Source organism: Homo sapiens, chromosome 18, assembly GCF_000001405.40.
Source record: "Homo sapiens chromosome 18, GRCh38.p14 Primary Assembly".
NCBI classification, from domain to species: domain Eukaryota; kingdom Metazoa; phylum Chordata; class Mammalia; order Primates; family Hominidae; genus Homo; species Homo sapiens.
Genome location: NC_000018.10, coordinates 59,332,400 through 59,352,193, shown reverse-complemented (window position 1 = coordinate 59,352,193; position 19,794 = coordinate 59,332,400). Strand labels below are relative to the sequence as shown.

The 19,794-nt window shown below is 37.1% G+C and overlaps 1 protein-coding gene across 1 annotated transcript in view; it reads left to right on the top strand.

Annotated features, from left to right (window-relative positions):
- Positions 1-19,794, top strand: part of LMAN1 (lectin, mannose binding 1) — a 31,443-nt gene that overhangs the window by 7,072 nt on the left and 4,577 nt on the right. Inside the window, exons 6-11 of the mRNA NM_005570.4 lie at positions 2,958-3,081; positions 4,623-4,681; positions 6,143-6,275; positions 13,241-13,434; positions 13,567-13,637; positions 18,950-19,103. Coding sequence (NP_005561.1) covers positions 2,958-3,081; positions 4,623-4,681; positions 6,143-6,275; positions 13,241-13,434; positions 13,567-13,637; positions 18,950-19,103 — 735 coding nt within the window. The remainder of the gene's footprint in view (positions 1-2,957; positions 3,082-4,622; positions 4,682-6,142; positions 6,276-13,240; positions 13,435-13,566; positions 13,638-18,949; positions 19,104-19,794) is intronic.

Below are 19,794 nucleotides of genomic sequence, written 5' to 3'. Positions count from 1 at the left end.
TGAGTTTAGTTGTAGGTAAATTGAGGTTAGCATAACATATAGGTGGAGATATCTAACTGGCAGTTATGATAACTAAGATCACTATGCATTGTAAACTTTGCTTTTTAAAGATGCCATTAATACCTGGTTATATAATACTTAAAAGTAAAAAAAATAGTGTATGAATTTTTCTTTCACCTAAATCATGAGCTAGACTTACACTCCTGGGTCTAAATCTCTGAGAAAGTTAGTTCTGTGGAAAACTGTATTGGCTTAGTCTTAATTCCAAGCTAATTTAGAGATCTTAGAATAGAGCAAGTGTCCAATGTATTATAATTAGCTTGGGTTTGAATTCCACTATAATTATTCACCCTGTACAGTTTCATTAGAGTCATCAGTAAGTCTTGCTTACCTGCATGTAGCAAAGCCCAGACATCAAGCATGGTGGGTGCAGACTGTCCGTGTGACCCAACACCGTGAGGCTGTGAGCCCTGGCAGCACTCCAAAACAATAGCCTTGCAAAACGTACTCCCCAGAAAGGGTTCCACAATTGATGAGATTGGTCACTACTCTGCATATTAGCACATTAAAGATTTCTTTATGAAGGATCCTTTATAAAGAAAGGATAAATAAACCTTTATTAGACCTCACATTTCCCAGACTGACTTAACTATGGAATTTTTTTTCACCTAATGTCTATGAGTGATCATGGAGCTAGTGTTTTCAGGTACACGTTTTGAAGAGACTGGCTGGACACGTGACTGCTACTTATTGGTTTTCACCTCTCTGTACATCTCAGTCTGGTAATAATTCCTTTTCTTTCTACTTGTTAAAGTCATACTTAGCTTTGAGCACACAAATTCAGATCCCTTTTCTATCAGATTTCCTAAACAGCTCATAATGATCTGTCTCTCCTAAACTCTTAGAGTATTTTTTTTTCTCTAATGCTTATTTGGCCTTGAGATATGTTGTACTGATTTGCTTATTAACTATATGTATATCTCTTCTTATCAATATGATTGTAAACTTCTCACAATAGGCATATCCTGTATTTCTCCTAGTTCCTAATATTGTGCCAATGTGAAGTGCTCAAGAAGTATTTATTTTCATGAGTACTTGCACCCTAGCTTGTCCCAGTTGTTTCCACATTGGAGGGAAAAACAAAGTAAGAGGAGGTTGAAAGCAATAAGTGCTGTTGGTGGGGGAAACACAGCCAAAGCAAGAGATCTTAAATATTGCAAGTGTAGTCTTTAACAATGGTTTGAAACCATAAGGTGAATAAGGAAGGTTATTGATGATCTCATAAAGAAGTAATAATCAGTGGACAGTTTGTACCTAGGCTTTCAGTTACAGTCCTTCCTAACATTCCTGCTAACTCACAGTACAATGAAATGTGTTACGTCCTTTAAAAAAAAATTGGGGCCGGGCGCGGTGGCTCACACATGTAATCCTAGCACTTTAGGAGGCCGAGGCGGGCGGATCACGAGGTCAGGAGATCAAGACCATCCTGGCTCACACGGTGAAACCCCGCCTCTACTAAAAATACAAAAAAATTAGCCAGGCTTTGTGGCGGGAGCCTGTAGTCTCCGCTACTCGGGAGGCTGAGGCAGGAGAATGGCGTGAACCCTGGAGGCAGAGTTTGCAGTGAGCCGAGATCACACCACTGCACTCCAGCCTGGGCGACAGAGCGAGACCCTGTCTCAAAAAATAAATAAATAAATAAAAATAATTGGAACTAGACAATGAAGACTCATGCTGGATTTTCAGTTTGTTAGAATTCAAGGAAAAAAATACTGAACAATTGGAGGATTTTAGTATTGTAATTTGAATGTAATAATCTACAGTCTTTTTAAGACTCAAAGGCAAATAACTTCCTGATTGTTGATTCTAATTTAAAAGGCTCTGTGGAGGAGGACCAGTTGTAAATGATGTAAAATGAAATAGGAATATTACTAATCACAGGAAACATATTAATATGAACCAAATGCTAAATGATCTTTTAAAATTAATTATTTTAAACTAATTTTTAGTTCACATGTTTCCATTCTACAGTATATAGAGAGTAACTCTTCATATTGACAGATTTTATTCTCTTGCTGAAAATTTGGACAGAATACCAGAACATTTTGCCTGTGTGACTGAATCTTAAGTCTCTGACAAAATTTTGACTCTAGAAGTAATGACTCAAGTTCCCTTACTCTGGTGCCTTGGGCCTTCTCCTGCAACCACCCTGAACCTCAGTGACTGTTGTTTAGGGTGGGACTCGTGAGAGGATTATTAGAAATGAAATGTATTGAAGAGGCTGAACCACTGCTTGACTGGGATAATGAGAAAAGCATTCATGTGTCAGGTGGATTCCTGTGCTTGCCTAGGATTCTAAGATTCTGTTAAGAAATTTAGGATCATTCCTTCAAATATACATTTTGCAAAGTAGAAACGTACATCTTTTTAGTTTTTTCCTTCTCTGCCTTGTCAGTATGACTTCTGTCACTTTTGTTCTCTGCTAACCTGTGACAGTCCAGATACCTCACTAATTTAATTAAGAGGAGCTCACTACTTGTTGAGACAATCTGTTTAATTCTCAACCAGCTGCAGATAAAATTGTAAATTTAACCTCTTGGTTTTAGCTGTCACTGGGATCTGAGAACAAGTCTGATCCCTCTGCTGCATGAACCATTCCAAGGGAGTAATGATGACTCCCTAGGTCTTCTTGAGAGAAGGCAAACCATATTCCATTTTAGAAAGGTTTTCATAGAAAGTTATCAGATTTTTCTCTCTTTAAACTTTTGACACATAGTGGGGCAAAACTCATTTTTTTAAGTAAAATATATTGTATATTGACACCAAGTAGGAAACGTTATTTAAAATTACTCTTTATAATAATGAAACAAAACTGAATAGTAGTCATAAAATGGATCGATTGAAATTTATTTTCTAATGTCTTTTGCAAAAGCTATAGCTATGATATGTCTTTCTAGGTAATGATCAATAATGGCTTTACACCAGATAAAAATGATTATGAATTTTGTGCCAAAGTGGAAAATATGATTATCCCTGCACAAGGGCATTTTGGAATATCTGCTGCAACTGGAGGTCTTGCAGGTAAATCTTGCAGTCTGATGATATTAAAAGTTTGTGAGGTGTGTTTTATTGGGAATAGTATATTAGGGATATGTAGACTTGTTTATACTAATAACTTTTTAAGACTGTTTGGAACTTTCCCATCACCTCTTGTGCCAGTCTTTTGGTCTGTTGAGATTGCTAATTTTCTACTTACATTGTTCGGTAGGTGTACAGTTAACTGGGGCTGTATACAAGTGTGTCAATTACAGCATCAGTTTGGGTGCTATTTTATAGTGAAGGAGACATATTTAAAGTAGAGGCTATCAAAGTCAGCAGGCTTAAAGGCTGGAGATCAAACCACATGACAATTAACTAAAATAGCAGTCTTGGCTAGTCACATCCACAGAAAGGTTAATTGCCAAGTGTTTTAGGATCCTGATCATTGTCACATCACATGTAAATGAATTTGGCAACCTAAGGAAAGGTTATTTGGTGACTAAACTTTAAACAAAACCATAGTTACCATTTTTTTCCACATAAGGTGATAAATTACCATTCAACGTCAATGCCATTTTATGTTTATATGACACATTGTAGTTTTAAATATTTTCAAATACATGGATTGTTCCTGACAACCCAGAGAAGAAGGGAGGGAAGATCCTATTTTCCATATTTTTAGAAGAACTTGCCAAATTTTAGGTGAAAGAAATTTCTGAAGATCGTATGGCCAATTGATGGTAAGCCCCAGGCAGGACTCGGCCTGGATTTCTGACTCCAGGTTCAGTGCCCTGTTACCCAACACAGTTTCTTAAGTTACTTAGTCTACACTACAGTATTATAGTTTTCTTTTTAATCTGTCTACATCTCTAGATTCCGTAAAAACAGTACAAAGCATAAAGATTGCTGTACGATTGATATTAATTGCTCTTGATTGGTGGATGTGACTAGCCAGGATTGGTATTTTAGTTAAGGGTTAGGAAGTTTGATTTGCTGAGCTGGTGCTTTTAGCATAAACAGCTTGAATTTGATTTTTTGATATGATTTTAGGTAAGATAAAATTATTAATATCTTCCATGTGAGAGAAACAAATAAGAAAGTAAGACAAAAGGTGGTATGCACTCTTAAGAAAGGTTCAGAGACATATAGGTACCCGGCAGTATGTGGAGACCAGGATTTTCTCTCATTTGTCTGGGACGTTGTCCATGAAGGAGATTTGTGGGAAACCATGGAGGATCTTGGTACCAGAATAAGGAGTTTGGACTTCTTTTGACCCTTCATTTGTTTGTTCATTTCTTATCAAACATTGATTAAACATCTATTATATGTTAAACACTGCTAAATATTCTGATTTAGGGTTTTAAAAAGTGAGTTTTGGATTATTTCTAATATAAATCTTTCAGGTGAATTTTGGTCTCTAAGCTCACAGAGTGCCATTGCCTTTACCAAATTAGTGCTAATTTTTGTCAATTCCCTCACTGGTTATTGTTATTTAAAACAATAAATATTGATAAAATACATTTACAATGATAAAAGTAATCTCCTATGGAACTTTTTCAGACTTTTTTTTTTTTAATTTGTAGATGACCATGATGTCCTTTCTTTTCTGACTTTCCAGTTGACTGAACCTGGAAAAGAGCCGGTAATTTTACACATATTTTCAAAAACTTTATCAGTTTAGTTTGCCTTTTAGCTGAACGTTTTGGAAGACTAACTTAGGTTTGGATCTTGTTTCTGCCAGTTACTGCTATATGGTCTTGTGCAAGTCACTGAACCTCTGTAATGCTTCATTTCTTTTTTTTTTTTTTTTTTTTTTTTTTTTTTTTTTTTTTTTGAGACGGAGTCTCGCTCTGTCTCCCAGGCTGGAGTGCAGTGGCGCGATATCTGCTCTCTGCAAGCTCCGCCTCCCGGGTTCACACCTGTAGTTCCAGCTACTCGGGAGGCTGAGGCTGGAGAATCACTTGAACCTGGGAGCGAGAGGTTGCGGTAAGCTGAGATCAAGACACTGCACTTCTCCTGCCTCAGCCTCCTGAGTAGCTGGGACTACAGGCTTCCGCCACCACACCCGGCTAATTTCTTGTATTTTTTGCTAGAGACGGGGTTTCACCATGTTAGCCAGGATGGTCTCGATCTCCTGACCTTGTGATCCGCCTGCCTTGGCCTCCCAAAGTGCTGGGATTACAGGTGTGAGCCACCACGCTCGGCCACGCTTCATTTCTTAATTGCTAAAACAGAAATGTTTGTACTGGCCACCTCATGATATTGAAGGATTGAGACAGTGCACGTATAGCAAGTGCTCAGTAAATGGTAGTGGTTATTATTAGAGGCAAGAGTAGGCCGGGTGTGGTGGCTCATGCCTGTAATCCTAGCACTTTGGGAGGCCAAGGTGGGCAGATCACCTGAGGTCAGGAGTTTGAGACCAGCCTGACCAACATGGCAAAACCCCATCTCTACAAAAATACAAAAAATAGCTGGGTGTGGTGGTGCACACCTATAGTTCCAGCTACTCAGGAGGCTGAGGCTGGAGAATCGCTTGAACCTGGGAGGGACAGGTTGCAGTAAGCTGAGATCAAGACACTGCACTTCAGCCTGGGCAACAAAGTAAGAGTCCATCTCAAAAAAGAAAAAAGGGCCAGGCGCGGTGGTTCACGCCTGTAATCCTAGCACTTTGGGAGGCCGAGGCGGGTGCATTGCCTGAGCTAAAGGGTTCAAAACCAGCCTGGACAACACAGTGAAACTCCATCTCTACTAAAAAATACAAAAAAAATTAGCTGGGCATGGCAGCAGGTGCCTGTTGTCCCAGCTACTCGGGAGGCTGAGGCAGGAGAATTGCTTGAACCTGGGAGGCAGAGGTTGCAGTGAGCCGAGATCACGCTACTGCACTCCAGCCTGGGTGACAGAGCGCGACTCTTGTCTCTAAAAAAAAAAAAAAAAAAAAAAAAAAAGAGTAATTTGCTATCGTTTAAGTAAAGAAGGAATACATTTTTATGTTAACCTTTCCGCTAGTGGTAGAAGAGTTAAAATGAGAAAAATAACATGTATAGAGATATCTTAATGATTTTCTTATCTTTTTAATGATCTATTCCAAAACTCCAAAAAAAAGCCCACACCAGATAAAGAAATTTCGGAAAAGGAAAAAGAAAAGTATCAGGAGGAATTTGAGCACTTTCAACAAGAATTGGATAAAAAAAAAGAGGAATTCCAGAAGGGCCACCCCGACCTCCAAGGGCAGCCTGGTGAGTTGTAGCAAAGCTGACATGGGTGCCGCAGCAGGGCTTGAGGCTGTTGATCATGGACGCTTGAGTCTCTGTGTTGCCTAGCTCATCCCTGCTCTCTGAACAGGCACATTCCAAGTGATTTCTGGAAACAATTTAGGAGCAAATCTTTAGTCTTTAAGAGTCAAGAGATTGGCATTTTTACCAGTGAGAATGTGGCTTAGTCATGTATGAAATAAAGAGTACCATGGTTATTTGGAGGAATGGGACCGCTAGAGTGAAAGCTCCATGAGGACAGGGATTTTGTTAATATTCATTGCTGTGACCACTAAGCCTAAAAATAAATCCAAAACAATGCTAACCTAGTAGTTCAGGTTCAGTAAATATTTTTTGACTGAAATCATCAAAAGTGTATATTTTTGGTTTTAGTGACACATAATTACCTTATAGTGTGGAGATAATCCTTAAAATCTATCAAAACTGTTGTGAAAGTAATGTGACATATCTGCTTCTCCTCCCCATACTACTCGATAGAATCCTGGACTGTATACTTGAAAATTATAAAATACTAGTCTAACCCAATGTTATTAAGAACGTGAGTGTGCTAATGTCAAAAATAAAACATTTTAAGGCCAAATTGAGGGAATTTATATTATCTGCTAGCTTTTTATCTGAATTGTTCCCAGTCAGCATAAGTGATCAAAGGTGTACTTAATAAAGGCTGTGGCTAGCATTTGAACTCTATGTAGTATGCAGTTCTCTTAATGATCAACAGTATGAGTCAGACTTAATGAATTTAAAAATGAAACATAAAGGTCATTCTTATTTTGAATTTGTTTTAAACATCATCACATAAAATTTGTGAGTATATCCTGAAGCTGACTTTAGTGTTTGAAAAGTATTGTTTAGTAAATTTTGACAAATGTGTATACCCATTTAACCATCACCCCGATCAGTACACGGAACATTTTTATCATCCCAGAAAGTTCCCTCATGCCTCCTTAAAGTCAACAACCTTCTCCACAGAGCCCATCACTATTCTTATTGTTATCACTGTAGATTAGTTCTGCCTATTCTTATAAGTAGAATCACACAGTGTAATGAAAGAGAAATATTTTTCCATTTTAATTTTATTTAACTTTTTATGTATTTAGGAAGAGTACAAGTGCAGATTTCTTATATGCTTGTGTCATATAGTGGTGAAGTCTGGGGTTTTAGTGTACTCTCACCCTAATGAACCTGGTACTCAGTGGGTAATTTTCAACCTTCATTCCCCTCCCACCTTTTGTAGTCTCCAGTGTCCGTTATTCCACTCCATTTGTCCATGTGTACCCATTGTTTAGCTTTTACTTATAAGTGAGAATGTATGGTATTTGACTTTCTAAGTCATTTCACTTGGGATAATCACTTCCAGTTCCATCCATGTTGCTGCAAAAGACATAATTTCATTCTTATTTTATGGCTGAGTAGTAGTCTATAGTATATACATACATATATACACACACACACGCCACATTTTCTTTATCAAGTTCTCTGTTGATGGGCATTTAGGTTGATTCCATATCTTTGCTATTGTAAATAGGGCTGCAATAAACGTATAAGTGCAAGTATCTTTTTGATATAATGATTTCTTTCCCTTTGGGTAAACACCCAGTAGTGGGATTGCTGGATCAAACGGTAATTCTAATTTTAGTTCTTTGAGAATTCTCCATACTGTTTTCCATGAAGGTTGTACTAATTTACATTCCCACCAACAGCATATAAGCATTCCCTCTTCTCCACATCTTGACAACATCTGTTGTCTTTTGACTTTTTAATAATGGCCATTGTGACTTGTGTAAGATAGTATCTCATTGTGGTTTTAATTTGGATTTTTTTGATGATTAGTGATGTTGAGCATTTCTTCATTTATTTGTTGGCCACTTGCGTGTCTTCTTTTGAAAAATGTCTGTTCATGCTCTTTGCCCAGTTTTTTAATGGGCTTTTTGTTTTTCTCTTGAGTTGTTTGAGTTCCTTGTAGATTCTGGATATTAGCCCTTCGTTGGATGCATAGTTTGCAAATATTTTTTCCCATTCTGTAGGTTAGATTATTGTGTTGATTGTTTCTTTTGCTGTGTAGAAGCTTTTTAGTTTAAGTCCCATTTGTCTATTTTTGTTTTTCTTGTGTTTGCCTTTGAGGACTTGGTCTAAGTTCTTTACCTAGGCCAATATGCAGAAGAGTCTTTCCTCAGTTTTCTTTTAGGATTTGTATGGTTTCATGTGTTATGTTTAGGTCTTTAATCCATCTTGAGTTAATTTTTGCATATGGTGAGAAGTATGGGTCCACTTGCATTCTTCTATATATAGCTATTCAATTTTTTCTGCACCGTTTATTGAATAGGATGTCCTTTCCCCAGTGTTTATTTTTGTTGACTTTGTTGAGGATCAGTTGATTGTAGGTATGTGGGTTTATTTCCTGGTCCTCTGTTCTGTTCCACTGACTTATGTGTCTGTTTTTATACCAGTATTATGCTGGTTTGGTTACTTTAGCCTTGTAGTATAATTTGAAGTCAGGTAATGTGATGCCTCCAGATTTATTCCTTTTGCTTAGCATTGCTTTGGCTATTTGGGCTCCCTTTTTTTTCCATATGAGTTTTAGGATTTTTTTTTTCTAATTCTGTGAAAAATGACATTGGTAATTTGATTGGGAGTGTCTAGAACTAGTAGATAGTTTTGGGCAGTATGGTCATTTTAACAATATTGATTCTTCCAATTCATGAGCATGGGATACTTTTCCATTTGTTTGTGTCATCTACCATTTCTCTCATCGTTGTTTTGAAGTTCTCCTTATGGAGAGCTTTCCCCTTCTTGGTTAAATATATTTCTAGGTGTTTTTTTTTTTTTTTAGCTGTTGTAAATGGAATTGCCTTCTAGATTTGGTCTGCTAGATCATTATCAGTATATGAAAATGCTACCGATTTCTGTACATTAATTTTTTATCTTGAAACATTACTGAATTCATTTATCAAATCTAAGAGTTTTTTGGTGGAGTCATTAGGATTTTTGAGATATAAGATCATATCATTAGCAAACAGGGATAATGTTACTTACTCATTTCCAGTTTGGATGCCTTTTATTTTTTTCTCTTGCCTGATTGCTCTGGTGAAGACTTCTAGTATTATGTTATTACACGTAAGAGTGATAAAAGTGGCATCCTTGTCTTGTTCCAGTTCTTAAAGGGAATGTTTTCAACTTTTCCCTGTTAAGTGTGAGGTTGGCTGTGGGTTTGTCATATGTGGCCTAATGTTGAGGTGTGTTCATTGAGGATTTTTATCATGAAGGGATGATGAATTTTATTGAATGTCCTTTCTGAGTCTGTTGAAATGATCATGTGTTTTGTTCTTAATTCTGTTTATGTGGTGTATCATATATATGGATTTTTATATGTTGAACCCTCCTTGCATCCCTGGGATAAATCCCACCTTGATCGTGCTGTATTATCTTTTTGATGTGCTGTAGGATTCATTTTGCTGGTATTCTGTAGAGGATTTTTGCATCTTTGTTCATCAGGGATATGGGTCTGTAGTTTTCTATTTTTTTGTGTCCTTGTCTGGTTTTGGTATCAGGGTGATACCGCCCTCATAGGATGAGTTAGGGGGAATTCTCTCCTCAGTGTTTTGGAATAATTTCAGGAGAATTGGTTCTTCTTGATATGTTTGATAGAATTCAGCTATAAGTCCATCTAGTCCCGGCTGTTGTTAAGAGATTTTTTTTTTTACTACTGATTCAGTCTTGCTACTCATTATTGATCTGTTCAGGAGTTCTGTTTCTTCCTGTTTCAGTCTCAGAAAGTTGTGTGTTTCCAGGAACTTATCCATTTCCTCTAGGTTTTCTAGTTTGTGAGCATATAGGTGTTCAAATAGTTTCTGACGATCTTTTGTGTATTTGTGGAATCTGTTGTAATGTCTCCTTCTTTTCTGATTGTGTTTATTTGGATCGTCTCTCTTCTTTTCTTGCCTAGTCTAGCTAGTGGTTTATCAATTTTGTTTATCTTTTCAAGGAAGCAACTTTTTGTTTTGTTGATCCTTTATTAATTTTTTTGGTCTCTATTTCATTTAGCTTTGCTCTTATGTTTGTTATTTCTTTTCTTTGCTAACTTTGGGTTTGGTTTGTTCTTGTTTTTCTAGTTTGCAGAGGAATAATGTTAGATTGTTTGCGATCTTTCCACTTTCTGATGTGGCATTTAATGCTGTAAACTGCCCTCTTCACACTGCTTTTTTCAGTTTTGGTTTGGTGTTTCCATTTTCATTCATTTCAAGAAATTTTTACATTTGTGTCTTAATTTCTTCATTGACAAAGTGAATGTTCAGGAGCATGCTGTTTAATTTCCATGTGTTTGTTTAGTTTCTTAAGTTCCTCTTAGTATTGATTTCTAGATTCATTCCATTGTGGTCTAAGACACTTGATATGATTCTGATTTTCAAAAATTTGCTAAGACTTATTTTGTGGCCTAATATGTAGTCCTGTGTCGGAGAGTCTTCTATGTGCTGGTGAAAAGAATGTATATTCCATAGTTATTGTAGAAAGTTCTGTAAATGTCTAAGTCCATTTGGTCTAAAGTCCAATTTAAGCCCAATGTTTCTTTGTTATTTTTCTGTCTCGATCTATCTAGTGTTGTGTGTGTGGTGTTAAATTCTCCCACTATTATTGTATTACTGTTTTTCTCTTTCTTTAGGTCTCGTAATAATTGTTTTCTGAATTTTGATGCTCTAATGTTGGGTGCATATAAATTAGGATTGTTATATCCTCTTGGTGAATTGATCCCTTTATCATTATATAATAACCTTCTTTGTCTTTTCTTTTTTAAGTCTGTTTTATCTCATATAAGTACAGCTACTCCTCTCACTTTTGGTTTCCATTTGCTTGGACTATTATTTTCCACCTCTTTACTTTCAGTCTATGTGTGTCTTTATGAATAACCTAAGTTTCTTGTAGGCAGTATATAGTTGTGCCATGTATTTTAATCCATTCTGCCAGTCTGTATCTTTTAGTGGAACATTTAATCCATCTGCATTCAAGGTTAATATTGATATATGAGGCTTTGTTCTTGTCATATTGTTCATTATTTTCAAGTTGTCTTATAAATTCTTTGTTCCTTTCTTTTTTCCATCTTTGTCTTTGTCATTTGATGAAATTCTGTCATGTTGCCATTTGATTCTTACATCTTCCTCCCCTCTGTGATTGTTTTATAAGAACTTTTATTTTATATTTCTGTTTTTATCATGGTGAATATTGCCCTTTTGTTTCCATGTTTAAGACCGCTTTGAGCATTTCCTGTCATGCTGGTCTGGTAATGACGGATTTCCCCAGCATTTGCTTGTCTGGGAAAGGCTTTATTTCTTCTTCATTTGTGAAGCTGATTCTAGCAGGATATAAAATTCTTGGCTGACAGTTTTTTTTTTTCTTTTATTAGCACTTTGAGAATGCCCATTCCTTTCTGGCCTGTAAAGCTTCTGCTGAAAAGTCTGCTGTTAATCTGATGGAATTTCCATTATAAGTGACTAAATACTTCTCTCTTGCTAATTTTAAAATTATTTCACATTGACTTTAGACATTCTGAATACAATATGCTGTAGTGAAACCCTTTTTGCAATATATTTTTCTGGGGATTGCTGGGCCTCCTGTATCTGGACATCTAACTCTTTTGCTAGACTTGGGAAGCTCTCATCAATTATTTTCTTAGTTATTCTCCTTAGCCAGACAACAACTGCAGCCATATGAACTTGAACTCGGACTAAGGATAGGGCACAGCCCAGCATGAAACTCTCAAAATTGTGCCTTGTGCCTGGGACCAGGGAGAGCAGGGCCCTTCCTAGTCAGGTGTCATGAGCAAGAAGCTGTAAGGAGTGCAGTCTGCTCACATCTCAGTTTCACAAGAGCCCATTGCAGGGCAGTGGGTATTGTCCTAGATATGCATAGGAGAGCCTGTTTCCTGTCTCTCCTTGGCCAGGTGGTAGCTACAGCCTTGTCAGCCCAAACATAGCCTGAGGGTGGGGCACAACCCTCCATTAAACTCTCAGTGTTTCACCTTGGGTCTGGGACCAGAGAGGGTAGGGTCCCTTCCAGGCAAGCAGCATGGGCAAGAAGCTGTGGGGAGTGCTGTCTACTCATGTCTCAGTATCAGCAGCACCCTTCAGCAAGGCAGGAGGGACCTTCCTAGGGGTGCATGGGAGTGACCAGTGTCCCCCCTTCTCTCCTTGGAACATTGCAGCGACTGCAGCCATGTCTGTAGATCCCCAGTATCTAGGCTATCAACAGTGGTGCCCAACTGGAGCTGTTGTAGGCTCAAATGCCTGTGGGATTCCATGTGGTTTCCCTTTATGGAGCAACATCTCTGTGCAATATTTAGGCAGTTCCATATGTCCAGCCCACAGCCCTAGTGGGTCAGAGGTTTCTCCTGTAGCCAGGATCATAAAAGCCCATTTTGGACTGCAGGGCCCTGGGGTTTTCTCTCTTACTGTTTCCCATCATCTAGGAGCCCTTCTGGTGCTCAGTCAGCTCCTGGCTGGGCAAGCTGCCTCAAACTCTCTCCTTATTTTGGTGCTTCCCATTTCTTCTCTGATGAATCCTAGCATTCTCTCCTAGGCAATCTATTTGAAATGCAAGTATCTACTTACTACTCTGGTTTTTCTCCGTGGAGGAGGTACATACTACTTGCATCTGGTTAGCCATTTTGATCCCTCCTGAGATTATCCAAGAAAAATTGTTTTTAAATAAAAAAATTTAAACCCAGTTTATAATAAGTGTTCAATCACCTGAAATGGCAGAAAACAAATAATTTAATCATTATTGAATTAATTATTTGCATATTTTCTGTTTGGGAGATTGTACCACTGTGATGGTGATGTCCTAATTTTGCTGAATGTTGGCACTTTGGTCACTTACGTTATTTCAAAAACTACATATGTGTAGGTGACTCTGATCATTTTTATTTATTTCCTTTTCAGCGGAGGAAATATTTGAGAGTGTAGGAGATCGAGAGCTAAGACAAGTCTTTGAAGGACAGAATCGTATTCATCTTGAAATCAAGCAGCTGAACCGGCAGTTAGATATGATTCTTGATGAACAGAGAAGATATGTCTCTTCCTTAACAGAGGAAATCTCTAAAAGAGGAGCAGGAATGCCTGGGCAGCATGGGCAGGTGGGCTTGCAGAATATGCAGATGTGCCCCATTTACCCTTTGCTGGAAGGGAAGTAAAGAAGAAGGGCAACTGTACTATGTGCTCATAGAATGTGGATTATTCAGCTTGCTCGTCATTGTTTCTTCCTCCAGATTACTCAACAAGAACTGGATACTGTTGTGAAAACTCAGCATGAGATTCTGAGACAAGTAAATGAAATGAAGTAAGTATGGAAAAGTAGCGTTTGTGTGTTATGTGATTTTTTTTATCCTAAATTTGTGACTTCAGGTGTGCAAGCACTGTATTGCAAGATTTCTGCATGAGGGTAAGAATCCCGTTCTAGATTCATTTTACAAATAGGGGACCATAAATACAGCAACTTTTAATATTCAAAAACTGCAAACATGTCTAAAGTTTTTAATTGTTTAGAGCTGGAAAAGAAAAAATGTTTTGGCATCTTTTAAAGAGATTTGTCAGTTACTTGACAGAGCCAGGTGTGTTCTTATATTTATAAAATATAAAAAGAATATGAAATAATATATAACACTTTTATGAAAAGTACTAGAGGAATAAATATGTGTAGCATTGTAAGACTATAATACAAGCAGACCTGATGCAGGAAATTCTTTTTGATGGAATGAAACCATTTTGAACGTAATATGTGTGACTACCTCTTTTTCATTCCCATCTTTTACTCTCAGAGAGACTGGACAGAGTTGGAGCAGAGAGGAGATAATTGTGTCCTTAGAATGTTGAACAATAAATTTCTAATGAGAATGATTGACTTATGCAGATAATTAATAGCTTTCAATGCCTGGAGCAGAGATAACAAACCATAGTGTCATGTTTCCATAACCTAACATTTCAGAGCACTGTCCCAACCGATAGAACCCTTGACAAACAAGAATGTCAAGGTGAGTTCTTTAGGACTGGAGAATTAAACAAGGTTAGATCAAACAGAAGGTGATTATACCTGATGTCTAGAGATTAAAGGCACTTAACTTATAACTGCAAATTTATATTTCTTCAATTTTTCTCTTTGCATTTTAAAAAATCTTCATAATCTGAACTCATGATTGAAATATTTATGATGCTAGATGAATAGTTTAGCTCTTCAAATAGTTTAGTTAAATGAATAGAATCCTTTTAGAAATAGACTGGATCATGTAACGCAACCTTTTTAAAAATCTTTTTATTTCGATCTAATTTTAGACCTCAGAAGCTACAGAAATAGTATGGGAAGTTTCTATACATTCTTCACCCATCTTTCTCTAATTTATATAACCATGGTTTAATTGTCAGAACCAGGAAATTAACATTGATACAATTCAATCAACTAAATTAATGACCTATTCAAAATTTATCAGTTTCTCCACCAAGGCCTATTCTATTCCAGGATCCCATCCACAATCGCACATTACATTTAGTTATTTTTTCTCTTTAGCCTTCTGCAGTCTGCAGTAGTTCATCTTCCCTTGTCTTTCATGACCTTGACATTTTCCAAGAGCATTAATCAGTTAATACCTTTTGATTTGGGTTTGGTTGGATGGAAGTTCCACATTTTGATAAGAAGATATTATATATTATAATATGTTATATAATATAATTATATATATTATTATATAAGATTGGTAAGATATTACTGATGATGTTGGCTGTGATCACTCGGTTATGGTGGTTTCCTATTGCTATCTCTACTTTAAAGTTACTGTATTTCCCTTTGTGGTTAGTATTTTGGAGAAGGTACTTTGAGACTATGTAAGTATCCATTTCAACCTTCTGCTCATTCATTTTAGCATCCATTGATGTTTCTTGCCTGTAACAAGAAAGTGGTTTTTGCCAAATGCTGATTTTTTTTTAATTTTTATTTTTATGTATTTATTTATTTATTTTTTTGAGACAGGGTCTAGCTCTGTTGCCCAGGCTGGAGTGCAGTAGTGCAATCACAGCTCTCTGCAGCCTCAACCTCCTGGGCTCAAATGATCCTCCCATCTCAGCCTCCTGAGTAGCTGGGACTACAGGTACATGCCACCACACCCAGCTAATTTTTCTATTTTTTTTGGAGTTGGGATTTTGCCATGTTGCCCAGGCTGATCTCAAACTCCTGGGCTCAAGCAGTCCTCCTGCCTCTGCCTCCCATAGTGTTGGGATTACAGGCGTGAGCCACCACGCCTGGCCCCGATGTTTATATTTCGAAATAATTCCCTCCATATTTGTTCATTGGAATTCTGCTGTCAGGACCAACTATCTTTTCTCTCCCATTTATTTATTTAGTTATTTATTTAGATCAGTTCAGACTCATGGATACTTATTCCATAGGTTACAGTCCAACACTCTCCTTATTTATTTTGCTGCTCAAATTGTTTCAGGTATGGTCATTCTGAGCTCCTTCATGTTGGCATCTTTGTTCTCTCAACAAGCCCTCATCTTTTTTTGAGCATTTTAAAAATTTATGGTACTGCTCTATCTTCTAGGGTCATCTTGTATTTTCTCTGCCCTCAGTGAGCCCTGGTTCCTTTTTCTTGAGAAAGGTATTTGAAAACCAACCTTTGGGCACTAGGTATGCTCATTACTACCGCGGTGCCGTTACCTCTAGGCCTCTTACTGGACAGAGCTAGGGAATATACATATGTATACCAACCCATGCATGTACATGAGTCTGTAGTTCCGTGTCTGTCAACCTACTCTTGTGTTAAACCATGAGATTATGCAGATATTTTGGATTCTGGCTGGACTGAACACTACAGAGTTAATTTTTAACTTTCCCCCTTGTCTTATTTGAAAATTCTTCCTCCAACAGGGAAAAACCTGGTTCTTATTATCTGTATCTATAACATATTTACTTATTGGTTTCACTTGAGTATGCATATAAGTACACACAAAGTGGTTTCAAATTGTTAGCTCGTATCCCTGTGAGAAAGACATTTACTGACAAGTTTATGTAAAGTTCCTTTTATCTCTAGCTTTACAGTATCCAGCCCAGATACTCTTTTCCAGATAGTTTCTTAGTGTAGTTCTCTTTTTCCCTACTCTTTTCATTATGGCTGATATTACTCATTTAGGATCCAGCTAGATTCTTTGTTAATGTTTATATTCCTCCTATATCCTGGTTGATTTAAATTGTTTGTATTTTGGGTATATGAATACTATGGTTCTAAGGGGCAGAGCATGTGTATATCGCTTCTTCATCCTTGCTACCACTTTCCCATCCTCCCCTTCTTTCCAGCTGTTTCCCACCCATTCCCTCTTGGTAACCAATTCTGTTAGCTTCCGGTTTGTTCTTCCTGTATTTCTTCTGCATATACGTATTTTCTTTTTCTTTTCTTTCTTTTTTTTTTTTTCTTTTGAGATGGAGTTTTGCTCTTGTTGCCTAGGCTGGAGTACACTGGTGCAATCTTGGCTCACCGCAACCTCTGCCTCCTGGGTTCATGCGATTCTTCTGCCTCAGCCTCCCGCCTAGCTGGGATTACAGGCACCTGACACCATGCCTGGCTACTTTTGTATTTTTAGTAGAGATGGGGTTTCTCCATGTTGGCCAGGCTGGTCTCGAACTCCTGACCTCAGGTGATCCACGCGCCTTGGCCTCCTAATGTGCTGGGATTACAGGTGTTAGCCACTGCACCCAGCCCATATTTTCTGAAGTCCCTTTCTTTCTTATGTGACGGGTAGCATATTCTAGATACTCTTTTGTGCTTTGCATGTTTTACTTAACAGTAGTACTAGGACATCTAAAGATGTAACTAGTTGTCAGGACGTCCTAGCTGTCCAGTTGTATTATCCATAGAATCCCTTTCTTAGAGGAGTTAACAATCCTTGCAAACTCCCACTTACTGAGAATAAATGTCATGCATACAGTAAGTTAATATAAAAACTGAGCTCAAGTTTCTGAACTAGTGCTCTGGAACTTTTTCTTTAGGATTTAGCTTCAAAAAAAAAATGTAAAGAGATAGAAAATATTTGCCTTTAATGGAAAGGGTAGTTTGTTTCTTTGTGGATTTTTATATTCTTAAGGAATCAAAGAAATTTTTTTTAGCAGAAAGAGATCTTAGAAAGCATGTAGCTTTTCTGTAGCAGTTGATGCCTCTTCCCACTTCTCCATCTCAAAACTTCCCTTTTAAGATTTCTGATACACCATTCACTCCTGGTATTCTTTGGCCTCTGCTTCCATTTAGTTATCTTCACTTGCTCTCCTTCCATCGTCCCTTAAAAGGTATTCTTTTCAAGCGTTCTGTCCAGCCCTCTTTTCACTTGACCTGTTTCCTAAACCAACTATGACCTCCTTCAACCACAATTCTATCCCCATAGGCTCCTCTTCATTTTTTGACACTCAGCTAAATGCATCTTTCTTTGTAGAGCTCTAGTCGTGCTTCTGTCACGTTGCTTTCCTGCTAGACAATTCATCTCCACAGGGCAGATATTTCATTCTTCTTGCAAAGTTTATATCCCTAATATTCCCTGGCTCACAGCACTTATGAAATAAATGTTAGCAGAATGAACAGGCAAATGAATGAATGACTGAGTAGGAGCAAATTAAGTGACTCAATCTTTGGTATATTAAAAAGACATTTATACCTAAGCAAGTTCATGCTTCTGGGAAGCAGAATTTCTTAAATACAAATATGTGACAACGTTACATACTCTGTGAGGTTTTGGTCTTGGTATTATTTTAGTTATATTAAAATGTTATGCTTAATTTGAGTTTAAGTGGAAAAGCTTAGCCCCACAGGAATTTTCTTGAGCATATGTGCCATTGAAAGAAATTTTAATCAACACGTGACATTGATTCAAAAGCACTTGAGATATTTTGTAACTACTTTTAAGTCTTCACTGCTCATGTAACTCAAACATAATTTTTTAAATGTTATACTTAACATTCTGTCTGACATATAGTGTTATTTTTAAGTAATTTGAGTCTCTTTTTTTTTTTTCTTTTGGTAAAGCTCTTACTTTTTAAACTACATTTGACTCCAGTGAAATAACTTATTTATTTATTCCTCCAAATTGAACCATAACTGTTGAATGCACTCGTAGGAAATCAGAATTGTGACCCCTGTCCTCAGGGTCACAAAGCCATTAGCCTCCTACTATATGCTGTATGAGTGAAATCATCTATATGTGCAGCTACAAAGCGGACAAGTCTGTGTGTGTGTGAGTGTGCCTATAGGAAATGATTGCGTTTGGCACTAGTCCTTTACTGTACAGCTGAACACCTAGAAAGATTTATTATAACTTCATTAAAAATATCATCCATTATATTCAATATCCACTTATACTATTGGTTTTAACACAGATTACCTAGTAGTATTTTCTACATGGTATTTTTAGATGACCTTTAGTAAAATATAAAGGCATAATGTCGTTTTATAAATTATTTTCCAATTTTGAACACAACTCGATTTTTAAAGATACTTTACCTGTTTTTTTTTTTAAATGATGTAATATATTAGACTTGAAAAGTAAAAGTATTGGAGATCTGTGACTGAAAAAAAAAAACTTTATAGTGATTTTATTGTATCAAGAGACTTTCTGTTTCAGAAATTCCATGAGTGAAACCGTCAGACTGGTCAGTGGAATGCAGCACCCTGGCTCTGCTGGAGGCGTCTATGAGACAACACAGCACTTCATTGACATCAAAGAGCACCTGCACATAGTAAAGAGGGACATAGATAACTTAGTGCAGCGAAATATGGTAACTTTGTTTCCTTTTCCTTTTATAATTATAATCTTTAGGAAAGGAAGAACTCATACTCTACTGCAAGTATTTTAACCCTTTAGTTAATGCTAATGCTTATTTTTAATGTTTAAGGTAGAATTGTCCCATTTATTGCAGATCTCCATGTGTCCTGGTTTTCTAGTTATTGAAGGTGGAAGAACAGTTCCCATAGCAGTCATGGTTTTTTAATATGTAATATTTATATTATCATTTCGTGAAAATATTTTCTGATTTCCATGTTAATGTCTTCTCTGACCCATGGATTGCTTAAAGTGTATTTCTTTGGCCTATTTTTCCGTCAAGGTTCTAATCTGGTAATTTCTTGCTATCTTGTTAGCTTCATTTACCTTCACCCAGGTTTCGTGTGCTTGGATTGGATTAGATATGTTTTTGACTCTGCTGGTTGTCTTCTATAAGACATATTTGGGATATGGTTGGCCCATATTTCCTAGTCTGCTTTACCAGAAGCAGAAATCCCAATCCCTTATATTTTATATCGCGTTTTATCTTTTTAAAAGCTTTTTAAAACGTTTGATGACCTTTAGAAAATATACTAATAGATTAATAATAATGTTACATTAAACTGACTCTCCCAAGGTCAGTAGCTAGTAAGTAGGAAAGGGAGAAAACTTAGGTCTTCAGCTTCTAATCTTGTCTCCTTTATATT